The 14924-nt window shown below is 35.0% G+C and overlaps 1 protein-coding gene and 1 long non-coding RNA gene across 6 annotated transcripts in view; one reads left to right on the plus strand and one right to left on the minus strand.

Annotated features, from left to right (window-relative positions):
- The window catches only part of LOC105375911 (uncharacterized), a 268808-nt gene that overhangs the window by 162648 nt on the left and 91236 nt on the right, over window positions 1–14924 (minus strand). The window lies entirely within an intron of this gene.
- The window catches only part of PKIA (cAMP-dependent protein kinase inhibitor alpha), an 88928-nt gene that overhangs the window by 43480 nt on the left and 30524 nt on the right, over window positions 1–14924 (plus strand). For 2 of the 5 annotated variants that reach the window (XM_017013620.1, XM_047421953.1), the window contains exons 2-3: window positions 7662–7775; window positions 12992–13120. The exons of 1 other annotated variant lie outside the window; for it this stretch is intronic. The gene's annotated coding sequence lies outside the window, so the exon portion shown is untranslated. The remainder of the gene's footprint in view (window positions 1–7661; window positions 7776–12991; window positions 13121–14924) is intronic. 2 more of the 5 variants (NM_006823.4, XM_017013621.2) reach the window with 1 other exon arrangement.

Below are 14924 nucleotides of genomic sequence, written 5' to 3' on the forward strand. Positions count from 1 at the left end.
GTTCTTCCTGTAAAATTGTGTTCATTTCTATCACATATGTTGTAACATAAAGATTTTTGGTGATATCCTAGTCCCAAAGTGATAACCTAGATCATCTGACTCTACATTCTCCATAGGAATAAATCATACGAATCTCTCTGAAGTAATGTTATAATTAATTCCTAAAGGTAATTTATAATTATATATATGCTACTTTCATGCATATTTGATATCATTTTGACTTTCACTATTCATTTATCATGTTTGCAAGCCTTTTGTTAAAAATAGCTGGTACACAAATCATTTCCTGATTGCCACATCTGGAACCCTGATTATATTTGCATTTCACAGTCGTTAGCCTTTAAAACTAGAGCAGAATCTGGGAATTTGCAGACAAAACAGTGCTTCCTTCTGGCAGTTGCATAAAAAGACATTTTTAAATCTGCATTTCTGTTTAAAGAAAACTGATTTATTTTCATTCTAAATTTATATAACACTTTCTTTAAACTAATCATAAAATGTAAATTAGGTTAACTCTAAGCTTTTTCCCCACCAGAACAAATGACAGTAACATTTTGTACAAAAAGAAAACGTTTTTCTATTCACACCTTGAATCATTGCTCTCCCTGTCTTTGAAAGTTAATTCTGATTAAGATGTACTGGTAGCTCATTGAAATCTTTGACAAAGCCAGCTTAGCTATTCTCTTGAGTAATGATTTACCTTACATTAAAATATCTTAAACATATGAACATTAATAACTAAAGTGATGAATATTACTAATATTGGGACTCAATTCATCAAGGAGAATACTTTGGGGAAGCAGATGGACTGTGAAGGGACAGGGATAATTTTTAACTATGGCCTTGATATTTAGACCAATGGCCGAGGAAAACCATGAAGAACATGAGAATGGGCTTCATTCATGTCAAGGAAGCAGAGTATTTGCTGATGGCTTAACATTTACTGGGCATGTCCTAACAGGATAGCCTGAAAAGATACATAACATTTTATCTGAGTCATTTAATTTAACCACATCCCTCTGTGTTAGTGTTATCTCTATTGGTAGATAGAAACCAGGCTCAGGAAGATTAAGAATGTTACCTAATTCTAGTAAGCTGCAAAACCTAAACTGATTTAATTCCAGAGCAAAGATCTTTCTACCTTATCAGCATGGGTCTTTACCTCTTTGAGAATATATGAGCTCTATGAGCCTTCTTCCAGAAAAATCCATAAATAAACAACATGAGACGTGGTATATCAGTACAAATCTCACTAAATGATTAGTGTGTTTGGACTTGCATCTGCTGGTAGATCTTTTGCGAATTTGCCTTCCTCTGAGATAGGGGGCTTTAAGTATTTTTTCTGAAGACACTCCCAAATTATACATATAAGAAACTATTTTCCTTTCAGGCTAAAGATAAATTAAAATGTATTTAACTACATATAGGTGCCACTGTTGGTCTAACACTCTACATATACCAGGATACAAGCTAAGATGGGTTCAAAAACTGTCCATTATACTGTAATTTGTTTCTGATATCGTGACACAGATATAATTTAATCAATTATAAGACAAGAAAAAAGACAGAAATGCTCCTTCTTCCTCCTCAACATCATGTAATTAGCCTACCCCACTGCTCTAGGCTAGGCCAAGTTTTTTTGTTTTTTTTTTTCTCCTAGTACAGGAAGCATATTTTAGTGACTCTCTGTCACAATCTTCTCCACTTCAAGTACATCTCACATAAATCTAGCCTGTCCCACAAAGTTTGTGCCAGGCAGTCTTAGGGTCAGTTGTACCCACGTATGTATGATTTTGAACTTCTCAAGTAGGGCCATTGTAGTCAGTAGAGCACAGTGGTTGGTACTGATGTCAAACTTTCTGAGTCCAAATACTGCTTCCATCTCTGACTAGCTATGTAACCTTAGATAAATCACTTAATGTTTTGAAAAGCATCTGTTTTCTCAGGAAAAGAGGATAATAAATACACCTACCTCACAGGGTTAATGTGTAAATTCATGTAACATGGGATAATGCACGTTAAGCATTGCACAGTACCTGCCTCTTGTTAGTAATAGCTGCTCTATTATTAATTATCCTCTTTGTATCCCCATTCTCAGCTCCCTTCTAACATATAATAGTTCTTCAGCAAATATTTACTGGCTTGAATTAGTTCTAAAACTTAGGCAATGCACCAACAGCAGAGTAATCACCCTTAACCATCACTTCTCCCACTGAAAGGGAGAATAGACAGAAGCCAACTATCTACCCTTTTTCTACATAAAACCTCTTATCGAGCCTCCAGTTAATAAAATAATAGTTCTGAAACCCCAAAAAATATTAGCAATTGTTGAAATCATGCTAGTTTGAAAATAGTTGAGTTTTCCTAACAAAATATGTCTCAGGATCCCAGGGTCACCAAGCTTATATTAATATAGTCTAGTTGGGACTAATGGTAATCATCAGTGAACTAGTCATTTTTTAGCTTCTTGGGCTCTTAAAAAATTTGTTATCATTAAGCCCACACTTCATAGAGTCACAGCTATTTTATTTTTATAGGAGACTCAACAGTCAAAGTAATCTCTTTAAAACCACAAAGCATATGATACATTTGTCCTGCTTAAAACTTCTAATGGTTATCTAGTGCAAAGACACTAAAACATAAACCACTTAATAAGACTTATAGGCCTCAAGTGCTCTGGCCCCCTTCAGTATCTCTTCCAGACCTTCATGGGTTCCAGGCATGTTTGCCTTTTTCAAGTCCTGGGATGCAGCAAGCTTGTAGCTATCACGTGGCTTTGCATTTACTGATCCTTCTGCTTAGATCAGTTTCCCTCTAATCATTTCAGTGTCATTTCAGATGCCAACTCTACTACCTTGGCCAGAGAGACCAGCCTGCTCTGTGTCTGTCTATCCCATTAACCAGTTTCACTTGTCAATTTGTTTACTTATGTACTCTACCACCCTCCCCCACCCCACTCCCAACAACTAGGGCATTTGCTTAAGAGCAAGGACTTTGTGTTCATTCACCACCAAATCTTCCAAGGCTTTCAACAGAGACTGGTATCTGGTAGATGCTCAGGAAATGAGTGTTGAATTAATGAATGAATATGTGAAGGAATGAAAAAAAAATGAGAGACACTATGAAAAAAATATTTCTCTTTTGAAAGAATAATGTAACAAGGAAAAAATCTTCATTCAATTAAAATCAATCATACATCGTTACTAACATCACTTAGTAATTCACATGCAATACAAAATTTTTCTCTACTTTCTGGTTCTATCCATGTAATTAATTAAATTTTGCTGACTCTAAGGCCAATCTGTGAGACATTATTTAACTTCCTTACTCTAAAATTTCAGCATTAACTTGGCAAGAGGCATCATCAATTAGTGGTCATCTGATCTTGCATAAATTATAATTAACCTTTCAATGCCTCAGTTTTCTCATTTGTAGTGTGGGAATTATACAAGATGTATAAGTTTATAAGAATAATCACATTAATAAAGCTCTTAGAATAGTGTCTTGCATCTGCCAAACAATATAGAAGTCTTGACTACTGTTACTAGTATTATTATTATGAGAATTAAATGTGGAGAATAATCCTTCATACAGTTGTATATTCCACTGAATGTAAATGGAACTAACAAAATATTTAGAAATCAGATTAAAGGTGGGGTGGTAAAATATACCAAGGTAGAAGATTATGAGGGTATAAAAGCATAACAGTATTTTTGTCTTTTGTTTTACTTTATTTTTAAAAGAAGGAAAGAGTCTAGAAATAAAAAGACAAAAACTCTCCATTGGCTGTGGTGAAATGGAGATCACCGGTGTCCTTCATAAGTGAAATTTCAGAGCAGTGGACAAAGGTGTTGGAGTGAGGGAAGCCAGAAGAAAGTAAACTATTGAGTAAATAGGACATGAGGTGTGGAAAAAAAATCTATAAAGATAACAATTTTGAGAAGGACAGATGTGAATGAGACAAAGAAGATATTGGATGACCAAGGAAGGTTTCATGTTGCATATATACTTTTTACTATTTTAAATAGGAGTTAGTGGTCTAGAATATGTTTGAATTTTTATGGAATAATCTATAAGGAGTAGGTCGGCTGTGGAAGACTCAGTGCTGTGAAGTTCTTGATCAGATGAGAGAAAATGGAATAACCACTACATACAGTGTGAATGGCCTTTCACATTAACTCTAACAAAAAGGGAATACGAAGATCACTGAAGATGCTAATGGATAAATGGATTTGACAGTGGGCCATTTACTGGCTTCTATTTTCTTAATGAGATATAAAGCAACACATCAGCTGAGAGAAGGAAGTAAAGAAGAAAGATGGGAATTTGAGGAAAGTGGGGAAGCCTTATTTAAAAAAAAAGAAAAAAGAAAAAAAAGAATGGCCCTTAAGTAGAATGAGAAAGAATTTACTGGTTAGTCAGAGCAGTATTCCCAGTCTTGGAAGCCCATTTGTGGTTGGTGTTTATTAATTTATTGGAATACAGATGTGCCCTGTCACGTGATTTTTCTCCAGCTACCTAGGAATAAGTTATGAAGAGGCAGAAAAGAGTGAGAGAAGACAATTAAGAGAAAATACAATTAGTATTTTAAATATATATGTGATGTTCAACTTTAATAGTTATCAAAAAATTTAAAGAAATGGAACATGAGGGTCCAGTTGATTAATTTATCAAAATCAGTAATCACATATCACAATATCTTATTTTGGTAATGTACTTCATCTAATTTGGTTCAACAACTTGAAAAGTAATTTGGCAATGTCTAGTAAGATAAAAGTGGTCATAGCTTTTTACTCATTAATTTTAATTCTGGAAATTTACTAAAATAATTTATATTTAGAAAATCATTATATAAAGGTGTTCATTGTCCTGTCATGTGTAATAACAAAAAAAATGGAAACACATTTAATTTCAACAATAAGAAAATGATTGAGTAAAGCAAATTATATCCAATTAGTAGAAAATTACAGTCATTAAAATTATAATTATGAGACTATCTAGCAAAATAGAATAATGCTTACTGAAGAGAGCTGATTTCAAATTTGTCAGCCTTGTGACAACTATGTAAACATGACTATTTATTAAAAATCAAACAAAAATAAAAATTTAAAAGCTCTGCAACAGTAATGGGAATTTTTACTTTTGTTTTAAAATATTTTTAGTATGGTTCTTTTTTATAATTTTGTTCTTTAAGAAGAATGTTAAAGGAGATTTTTTTGGCCCCTTTTTAAAGACTCTCTGATTATTACGTCTTACATTTTCAAATAAATAATTATTTTACCAGAAAAGATCAGACTTATTTGACTGATTATACTTCCACATTATTTGGCAGAAAAATAAGAAATGTCACTTATAATTGTTTTTAGAAAAAATTTCAAGATTTTTTTTCTTTTTTGCTGTATTTTTCCTGGAATAGAGATTAAGCAAACTGCCTAAAATTCTAGTCATTATTTTTCATTATTTTCATTTTTATTCATTATCCTGCCCTTCACAGGAACAGTAATGAATCTGCAGGTTGCATCTGCCAATTTCTTGTCTCTTATCCACATGATGAAGCCATGCTGATATGAACACATCCACTATTTTAAAAACTCTTCAGTTATTGAATTATAATTTGGTCTTCTGTTATAAGGATTTTATATAAGTGTAAAATTTGGACTCAACTTCTGGAAGCCTTTTGTCTTCTTAGTCTAAACCTGAAAGATCCTTAATATTCACCCATATGACAAATAATTATTTGCATAGTTAGAAGCTCCTAAATTATTTATTAAGGATACCTGGCAGTGCTCTTGCTATTTCTCAGTAGCCCTTTATTGAAGTTTCTCTCTCCCTCTTTCTCTTGTACCTACATACACAACCCTAAAGTAATTAGGGTTTTTTTTTATGAGGATTGCCAGTATAATGTTTATAGTTTCTTTTACAGGACCAGATACAAAGCAGGCACTCACGGCATTGTTAGTAATGTTATCACTTTTCTGTTATTATTTAGGTCTTCATTTTCCTGACTGTGAGTTTCCATAAGGAAATACAATTTCCACTACATAGGGTAACACCTGTTATCTGGAGAGATTTTAATTGACCTCATTACTCAAAAGAAAACCCCAAAACCAACAGATCAGTTGCCTGCCTTTTGTGTTTGCCTTACACCAGTGTTCGATAAAGATTTAATTATTTAATAAGTTCTACTTTTCAAGAAAGTAGAACAAATTGATATGGTAAAAGAGATGAGAAAACTGTCCATGGAAAAAAATGATCAACTCACTTATGTGCTGAAAGCCCACCTTAGGAGAACTGCTGTTTTGAGAAACACAAAGGAAACGTGTAAAAATGTATTGAGTAAGTTATAGTAATTATTTTTAAGAGCTAAGCACAAAATTTCCTGTTGATTTACATATTTGGTACCAACAAAAATCATATGGAATTAGTCATATTAAGATACAAAGTTGAGCTACAAATTCATAGTCTAATTTATGAAACATGTCTTTGTTGGCTGTTAAAAAGTAAGATGGTGAGTGATCTCTGAGTAGCAGAAGGCAAAGAGAAAAATAGCCTTTTTTACATTATATTATACTTCTGGGTAAAATGTTTCATAAATCTAGCTACAAAGCTATATGTTCTGTAGCTTTTAGGTACCTGCTGTTTCAAAGATTTCCCCTGTGGAGATTAGATTTTGCCAAGGAAGGGATCTGTAAAAGTAATACAAATGCCAGTATCATTGGCAACCACGAGTGCCAGCAAAGTGAGCCTCCAATTCAAATTGATGAGCATACTATCCTGTAGTATCTTTTCCTTGTGAGTTTTCTGTTTTGGAAAAGGTGGGTAGAAAATGTATTTTAAAAAGGCTTTATAGGCAGAAATAACAATACATCATTCTGAAAACATAAAATACTTTAGCTAAAGTTATTACAGCATCTTACATTAATATTTCAGCGTACATTAGACATTGCCTACAACCAATGTTTATGATAATCACTGCCCTCTGAAGTGGAATCATGCCCGTGGCAAACAATAATCTTAAAGAAGATTAAACACCGAAAAGACATTTAGCATTTAAAGACAGTTTGCTTTGATTTATTCAGTGAGTTCTTCCAAAAACATGTTACCAGGAATTATTGCTTATTGAATTGGAATTACCAACCATTTTAGAATTATTTAGTTTTTTTCTTCAACATCAATATCAGTAAGGTAAAGCAAACTCAAATATTTATTGGGGACTGCAGAAACACAACCATAAAACAAGAAAACACTTGACTTTTTAAATAGACTTTATATTTTAAAACAGTTTTAATTCAGAAAATTTGAAAGTATATTATAGAGATTTCTCATACATACTATACCCATTTTTCTCTATTATTAACAACTTATATTAGTATGTTACATTTGTTTCAATTAGTGAACAAATATTAATATATTATCATTAACTGAAGTTCATACTTTGATCATGGTTCCTATATTTTTACCTTATCATGTCACATTTGTGTTCCAAGATTCCATCAGGATACTGTATTACATTTAGTTGTCATGTTTTCTTAGGATCCCCTTAGTTGTGACAATTTCTCATACTTTCCTTATTTTTGAAGACCTTGACAATTTTGGATAATACTGGACAGGTATTTTGTACGATGCCCCACTGCTAAAATGTGTCTTATGCTTTTCTCAAGATTGGGAGTGTGCTTTTGAGGAAGACCACAGAGATAAAGGGCCATTTTGTCAAGATGACTTATCACTGCTGATGTCAACCTTGATCACCTGGCTGAGATAGTCGTCATCATCAGGTTTCTTCACTCTTTCTTTCTCTTTCTGTATTATACTCTGGAAGGAAATCACTACGCTCAGCCAACAATAAGAAGCAGAGAGTTATACTCCGCCTTCTTTGGTTTGAATAGCTACAGAAGCTATTTGGAAGTTTTCTGCACTGGAGACTTATCTATCCCCCAGCCATTTATTAATTTAATCCCTTGTTTACGCCAGTAAGAATCTGTGGACATTAATTTTATACTTGGGATTATATACCACTTTATTTTGTTGCTCAAATTGTTCCATCTTAACCATTATGAACTCTTTCAATTGTTCCCAGGCTCAATAATTGTGGGTTTTTAAAAATCACTTCCTTAATTTCTCACACTACCAGATGGTCTACTTCCATCTTTTATATTTCTTGCCCTGGTTCTAGAATTGGTCCTTTCTCCAGGAAGCTCTAGTTCCTTTACTGGGGAGTGGTATTAGCACCAAGATCTGGGTGCTATATTTGCTCATTGTTACTGGGGTTTCATTGTTTCTAGGTTGTCTTAGCTGACTGAGTGAAGAGATATGTGTATGTATACTAACAATGTGTATACACATATCTATAATTTTTTATGTATGTTGCTATGCATATGTACATCAAGCTAAGGATGAGTTTATATTAATGTCTCCAACCCTAATCTACTACCTCATGAATCAGTCTAGCCTTCCTTATCTACAAATTTCACCTTCAACAGAACACTTGACTTCTGCAAGTGTGAAAATCAAATCGTAATAACCTTGTGAACCCTTAGGAAGCCATTTGTCTAGCAGAATAATTCCTAAAGGGCATGGTGTATATAGTCAAACTTCAATTTATAGCCAGCAGCACTTTTTAACATTAATAGACCACCGCAATTCTGGTTCTGATAAGATGGAGTGGCTGCATTTCTCCCAGGTATTTTCACTTTCCACTAAAACTATGAAATGAATACAATAAATAAGCATAGGAGGCACCAAATAGTGAAAACTGGAAGGCAGACTTACTTCGGGACTTAAGAAATGACCTGGCAATGAGTTCCCTGTTTTCTTTTTGCCTCCCACATAGCTCAGACAGGGCACCACAGGAGCCTCCATTCCATAACCACCAACAGACACAGACAAAAAAAGCTCCAAGAAAACTCTGTGCTTCTTAGCCAAAGTATGAGAAAAGAGATTTCTAACAACAGAAAACCTTTCTGGCAGTATGTACACCTCTCCAGTAAAACCCTAATGAAACCATAGGTCATGGTTACAGACATGATCCATGACTTTTGTTTCAGAGGGACCAGGTAAGGAGTTGATCGTGCATACCACCCTACTCTTGCCCTTCACAAGCAGGCAGCACTGTGGTTCCCCCACCAGAGTTGTTGCAGTGTGGTTCAATGGAGAGCTGAGCCTCCACCCCACCCGTCAGGAAGGAGACTTAAGGAGATCATGCCAGACAGAGCTAATTACAAATGGACTCCCTGCACACAGCCATGGGGTCCAGTGGGGAGCTAAGCCCCCGCCTCTACTTGCCATCAGCAACAGGATGTTGCAAGTTGGGTATAGGAGGCACTGTACTTTCCTTCAAAACCTGGGGTCAGGGGAGACCAGTGAGGAACTAAGCCTCTACACACACCTAACACCAATAGGATAGAATTAAGGTAGTGTAAAGAAAGAGAGTTGACACTTCATTTCCCTCTGCCTTGGTTCAGGGGGTCTGTTAGAGTGCTGAGCCTCCATTCCCATTTGAAGGCAACAACATGGTATGAGTGGTCCCATTCTCCTTGGGAAGGTGTCAGCAAGGCCAAAGGCGGAGCTAAACTTCTACCTCATCTGTCTGCAGTAAGGCCATGTGAGTCAGCGTCCCTCTGTTGCCAGTATGGTGTCAGCAAGGCCCAGTGGAACCTGTACATTCCCACCCTTGTAGCTTTCTTGCTACACCCCAATATAGGGGAGCTTCCTTCTAAAAATAATAAGTTAAAATAAGATCCAGAGTCATATACTACTCATAATGTTCACAATACAATTGAAAACTACCAATTATACCAAGAACCAGGTAATCACAAAATAAATGAAAAAAAATTATAGTCAGCACACACTAAAACTGAGATAAATCAGTTGTTGAAATTATGTGACAGGGATTTTAAATAAGATATCACATAAATGTTTCAAAAAGCAATTATGTATTTCTTAAAATAAATGAAAAAATAGAAAGTATAAGCAACAAAATAGATGTTATAAAATAAAAACCAAGTGAAAATGATAGAGCTGACAAATACAACAACCAAAATAAAAACCTTTGTTGGGCAGGCTCAAGAGTAGAGTGGAGATGACAAAGCATAGGATCAGTGACCTCAAGAACAGATAAATAGAATTTACCAAATAGATAAATAGAATTTATCAAACTTGAAAAACAGAGAGGAAAACATAGGCTTAGTGAAGAAGTGGGTAGGAACTCAGGAACCTGTGGAACGAAAAATAAAAAGCTAACATCCATATCATCAAACTCCCAGAATGAAAACAGCCAGCCAGTGAGATGGAAAAATTATCTGAAGAAATAATGACAGAGCAGTTCCCCAAAATGGCAAAAGACATAAACGTACAGATTTAAGAACCTAAGCAAAACTCAAATAGGGTAGACACAAAGATATTCATGCCGAGGCACATCATAATTGAACTTCTGAAACATAAAGAGAAAGGAAAAAAGTCTGAAAAGCAGATAGAGAGAAACAATGCATTACTTACAGAGAAACACCAATTCAAATGACAGCAGATTTCGGATCTGAAACTATGGATGTCAGAAGTATTGGCATAACATTCTTCGAGTACTGAAAGCAAACAACTGCCATGCACGAACTTCATATCCAGTTTCTTCTTTGGCTTATATTAATGAACTATTAACTAAACTTTCTGTGTCTAGGATTGCAACTACCCTTCTCCAACAATCAAGCCCCAGTATTTCCAAAGTGACCTTTCTAAAACAAACAAATATCTGATCATGTTATGCAAATAAACCTTTCTATCTTCTTTTCCTCTAACTTGAACTTTTCTGTTAAAAATCATTCAATGGCTTTCCATCTTCCTTACAATTAAATTCCACACTCTTTCATACATACACAAACCATTCTTTATCTGGCTGCTACCATGCTCTCTGTTGTCTTCTTTTTTTACACCCCTCTAAGCACTCTTTATACCAGTTGTATATGGCATTTCTTTCTGTTCTGTTCCTTAACCATTCTTTTTCTTTCTACTGTGAATTTATCTCCTCTTTGACTCAAAAATTTACCTCTCCTTCACATTACACATCCATCTCCAGTATTGCCTTCTATAGGAAGACCTGCTAATATTTCTCACTTATTATTGGTCCACAGAATGAATTAAGACTGCTCTCTCTTCCATTACACTATGTAATAATTTGTACTATCTGGATGCCCCAATAAAGTAAATTCTTGATGCTAAGATAATGATTTTAATAAAGGTTACACTGAAGTCTAGCTTAATCCTTGGTATACATTAGGTGTTCAGTGAGTGTTAAATGAGTGATGAATGAGTGGTCAACTTGAAATCTTAATTTTTCCTTTTTTTTTTTTTTAACTAGGACTGTATCCAAGATACAAAGTTTTCCAGGAGATTAGACACTTAGGACCTTTGATTTGATTTAATAGAGGACATTGTTATCAATGCATTAGTACTTAATTACCTCAAAAGAAAACTGTCAACCCAGGAACTAAAGTTTATCCATTTGGACTTACAAGATAACCTTTAATACCCCATTGCCACTGTATCCGATGCTGTCAGAGGCCCACCTACATCTCCCCCTACACTCAGCATTTCAGTGCATACTGATAGAATTGTGCTATCACCTGCAAATACCTCTTTAGGGCACGCCAGAAGTGTGCAGGAGATAACATATCTGGCTGAAACTTTCAATCCCTGACAGAGGGGATTTGGGATATAAATACTTCGACTTTCTCACCCACTGGTGGGGATAACCCTGAGGAATGTTCTTCAGGGTTCCACAGGACTCCTCTAAGGGACTTGTAACAGTTCCCCCCAAGAGTAACCTGTTCAGTGCTGTGCCTCTCTTGGCTTTCTTTCATGCCTCTATTCTCAATTCCAGCTCTACTCCTGAGTTTCCTTGCTCACTTTCCAGGAACAGTTTGAATTCAAATTCTTCTCTCAGGCTCTGCTTCTGAGGGAAATCAGTCTAAGACAATCCCAAATCACTTCTAGTCTCCTAATAGGCCAATGTGCCTTTCAGGGTCATCACTGGTACAGATGCTGAGGGCTGGCTCATTGTCTGTCGCTCCTAGATTCTAATGTTTTCAATCAGATAGAAAAGAGTATGACATTAAAGTTAGAAAAAAGGTATATGAGAATGGCCAATAAGTGGAGGGAAAGAGAGATCATGTCATTTGTTTTCCATAAATGATGAATGATAGTATAGAATTTGTGAACAGGTGGTCTATAACAGGTATGAGTATAATTTGAGAAGACTACTCCTTAGTCACCCAGAAGTCTGCTATTATTGTTTCAGAATCACAGTGTTGGAACCTTTTTGCATAATTTGCTTCACTTTAACCTAATATCCATCTTTCTAAATCTGTCCATCTTTCTAAATCTCTAAGTAGTAGTCAACAGATTTATTCTCTCCCTCCATCTCATCACAAGAAAAGCCAAACACAAACACACACACACACACAAACATTTTGTGTGTGACAACGCTTGAACAGACATTAAAAGTCTCTGTAAATATCCTTCAACAAATTCCAATGTTTATGAAGAACTAAATTTAGTCAAATTAATTTTTTGAAGATCTAAGTGAAGATAGAAGAGAAATCTAGATGAAGACTGAAGAACCAAAGTGAATATTAAAGAAAAGACAGAAAACTTGCCTTTTTTGCCCGCTAAATCACTGACTAGTAGTCAACAGATTTCTTTCCCCACCACCCCATCACAAAAAAAGCTGCACGCACACACACACACACACACACACACACACACAATTAATTAACAAAGGCTAACCAGGCCTCTTTTGAAGACTGCTTGACTTGAAATCCCAAAATTCAACCTATACTCTCATCACGTGTTTGTGTTGTGAGAATTCATACTCATAACCACGAAAGTTCCTGAAGTTATGATACTGTTCAAATGACGGATGCTTGAACATTTGCTTAAAATTTTTAAAAATGAAACTTATATGTACAGATAATTTCCCTTTCTCTTGCTATCTGCATTTCAGTTTCCTGACTTTCTGAGAAGCCCTGGTTTCCCCAAAGAAGTGATTTCTGATAGAAATCTGAAGGTCATCTCCAAGAAAAAAGAGATCTAGTATAGTCAATGAATTAAAGACAAGAAGGTTTCCAATCAGGTAGGAACACTAATTCTCAAACATTTAATTACCTTAAAATAAGTATGCTGAGAACTGGTTATGGTGTGACTGTCTGAAACAATAAGTATCTAACCTACCCTACAAGGAACCTGTTCACAATCCCCTTGGAGGTTGTGATGTTTATCAGACAAAACCTTGGAGGGAAACTCATACAATAACAGCATGATGCTTTTTTCTATTTTTAGCTTGTTGTTACTAAGTACACTTAGTGAGCTCCATGCATGTGGTTTAATCCCAGGAGGTTAGGCCTGTGGAGCAGCAGATTAACCCTTTCAGTATTTTCTTTTAAAACAAATCATTTTCGTGGGTTGTCTCCGTGACCCTCTGTGAAGGTCATGAAAATTATGGGTCATGATGGCATTTAGTTCTTTAAGAGGAACAGTCCTAATGAATGATGTAAGGAAGTTGTTTTGGTTCCTATGGGGCACTTCTCATCTTGGTCTTGGGACAATCAAAGTGAGCACGTATAGGGAGTTGAAAGGGAGGTGAATGGAGCATGTGAAAGGGGAGCTCTGTTTTCATTTATCTATGCACATCAGCATCCCACTGAGAATTTTCTTTTCATTTGCAATTTAAGTCCAAAACTTGGGGCAAAAGGACATCCCATTTTATGGAAAGAAAAGAAAAAAACAGCAGTAACATCATAATAAGTGGCTCATCTTCTCATTTGCAGTTATATTAATATATACTTATTAATATATACATTTAGCACAGCACTTGATCCCTAGTCAGTACTCAAAATGAAGACACATACTGAATAATGGATGAATGAAGAGAAAAAGTTTGTCCTTGGATTGCTTTGTGTGTTGGCTTCTGTAGTCTCAGAACCCAGTACTATAACTAACACATAAAATATGGGCCATAAATCTTTTTGAATTAATGAATAAGTCCCCATGATTCTAAGGACAATTATAAGACCAACACAAAACACATATTTGCCAAGGTCTGTGACAGAAGTATCTGTGACATGAAAGCCTGAATCTGAGTCTGCTGATATAGCTGACAATTTTTCTAGTTCTGAGACTGCTTTTTAATAATTTACATCTTATCCTTTACATTTAGGCATAGTACCTTCATTAGATGTACTATTCAATGATTAGTGCTTGGGGAGAAAATCCATCAGATAAATTTCTTAACTATATTACTTGCAAACTTTTCTTTTCTTCAGATTTATAACTGATAACAGTAATTGTACATATTTATGGGGTATAGTGTGATGTTTAATGCATATATACATTGTATAATGATCAAATCAGGGTAATTGGTATATCCATCATTTTAAGCATTTATTATTTCTTTGTGGGGATAACATTCAAAATCTTCTCTTCTAGCTATGTTGAAATATACAATACATTGCTTTTTGCTATAGTCACCTTACTGTAAAACATATTTGTTAAAGCATTTTTATAATGACACAGTTAAGGGCAATTTCAGAATCACTAGCTGCTAAAATTGTTATTTATACTTTTCCATGGGTAGTACAGCTGCAGCAGCTATTTCTCTATATTCTGCTGTTGCTATCTGCTGCATTTCCAAGAGAGAACAAAATCCATTTCATTAAAGAAGGAAATGTAAAATTTAGCATAATCCAGTTACCACAAAACCAAAACACTCACACACACTCTCCCAGGTGTGAAAGTGAACTAGTGATCTAAAATAGCACACTGAAACTGGTTTCAAAATAAGAGGACATTTACTCATATTTGATTATTTTATTATTTTATCAATTATGATATTCAGATATACTTCTAATAACAATTCTGAATTGCTAGATGGAGCATTC

Source organism: Homo sapiens, chromosome 8 (genome assembly GCF_000001405.40).
Source record: "Homo sapiens chromosome 8, GRCh38.p14 Primary Assembly".
NCBI lineage: Eukaryota > Metazoa > Chordata > Mammalia > Primates > Hominidae > Homo > Homo sapiens.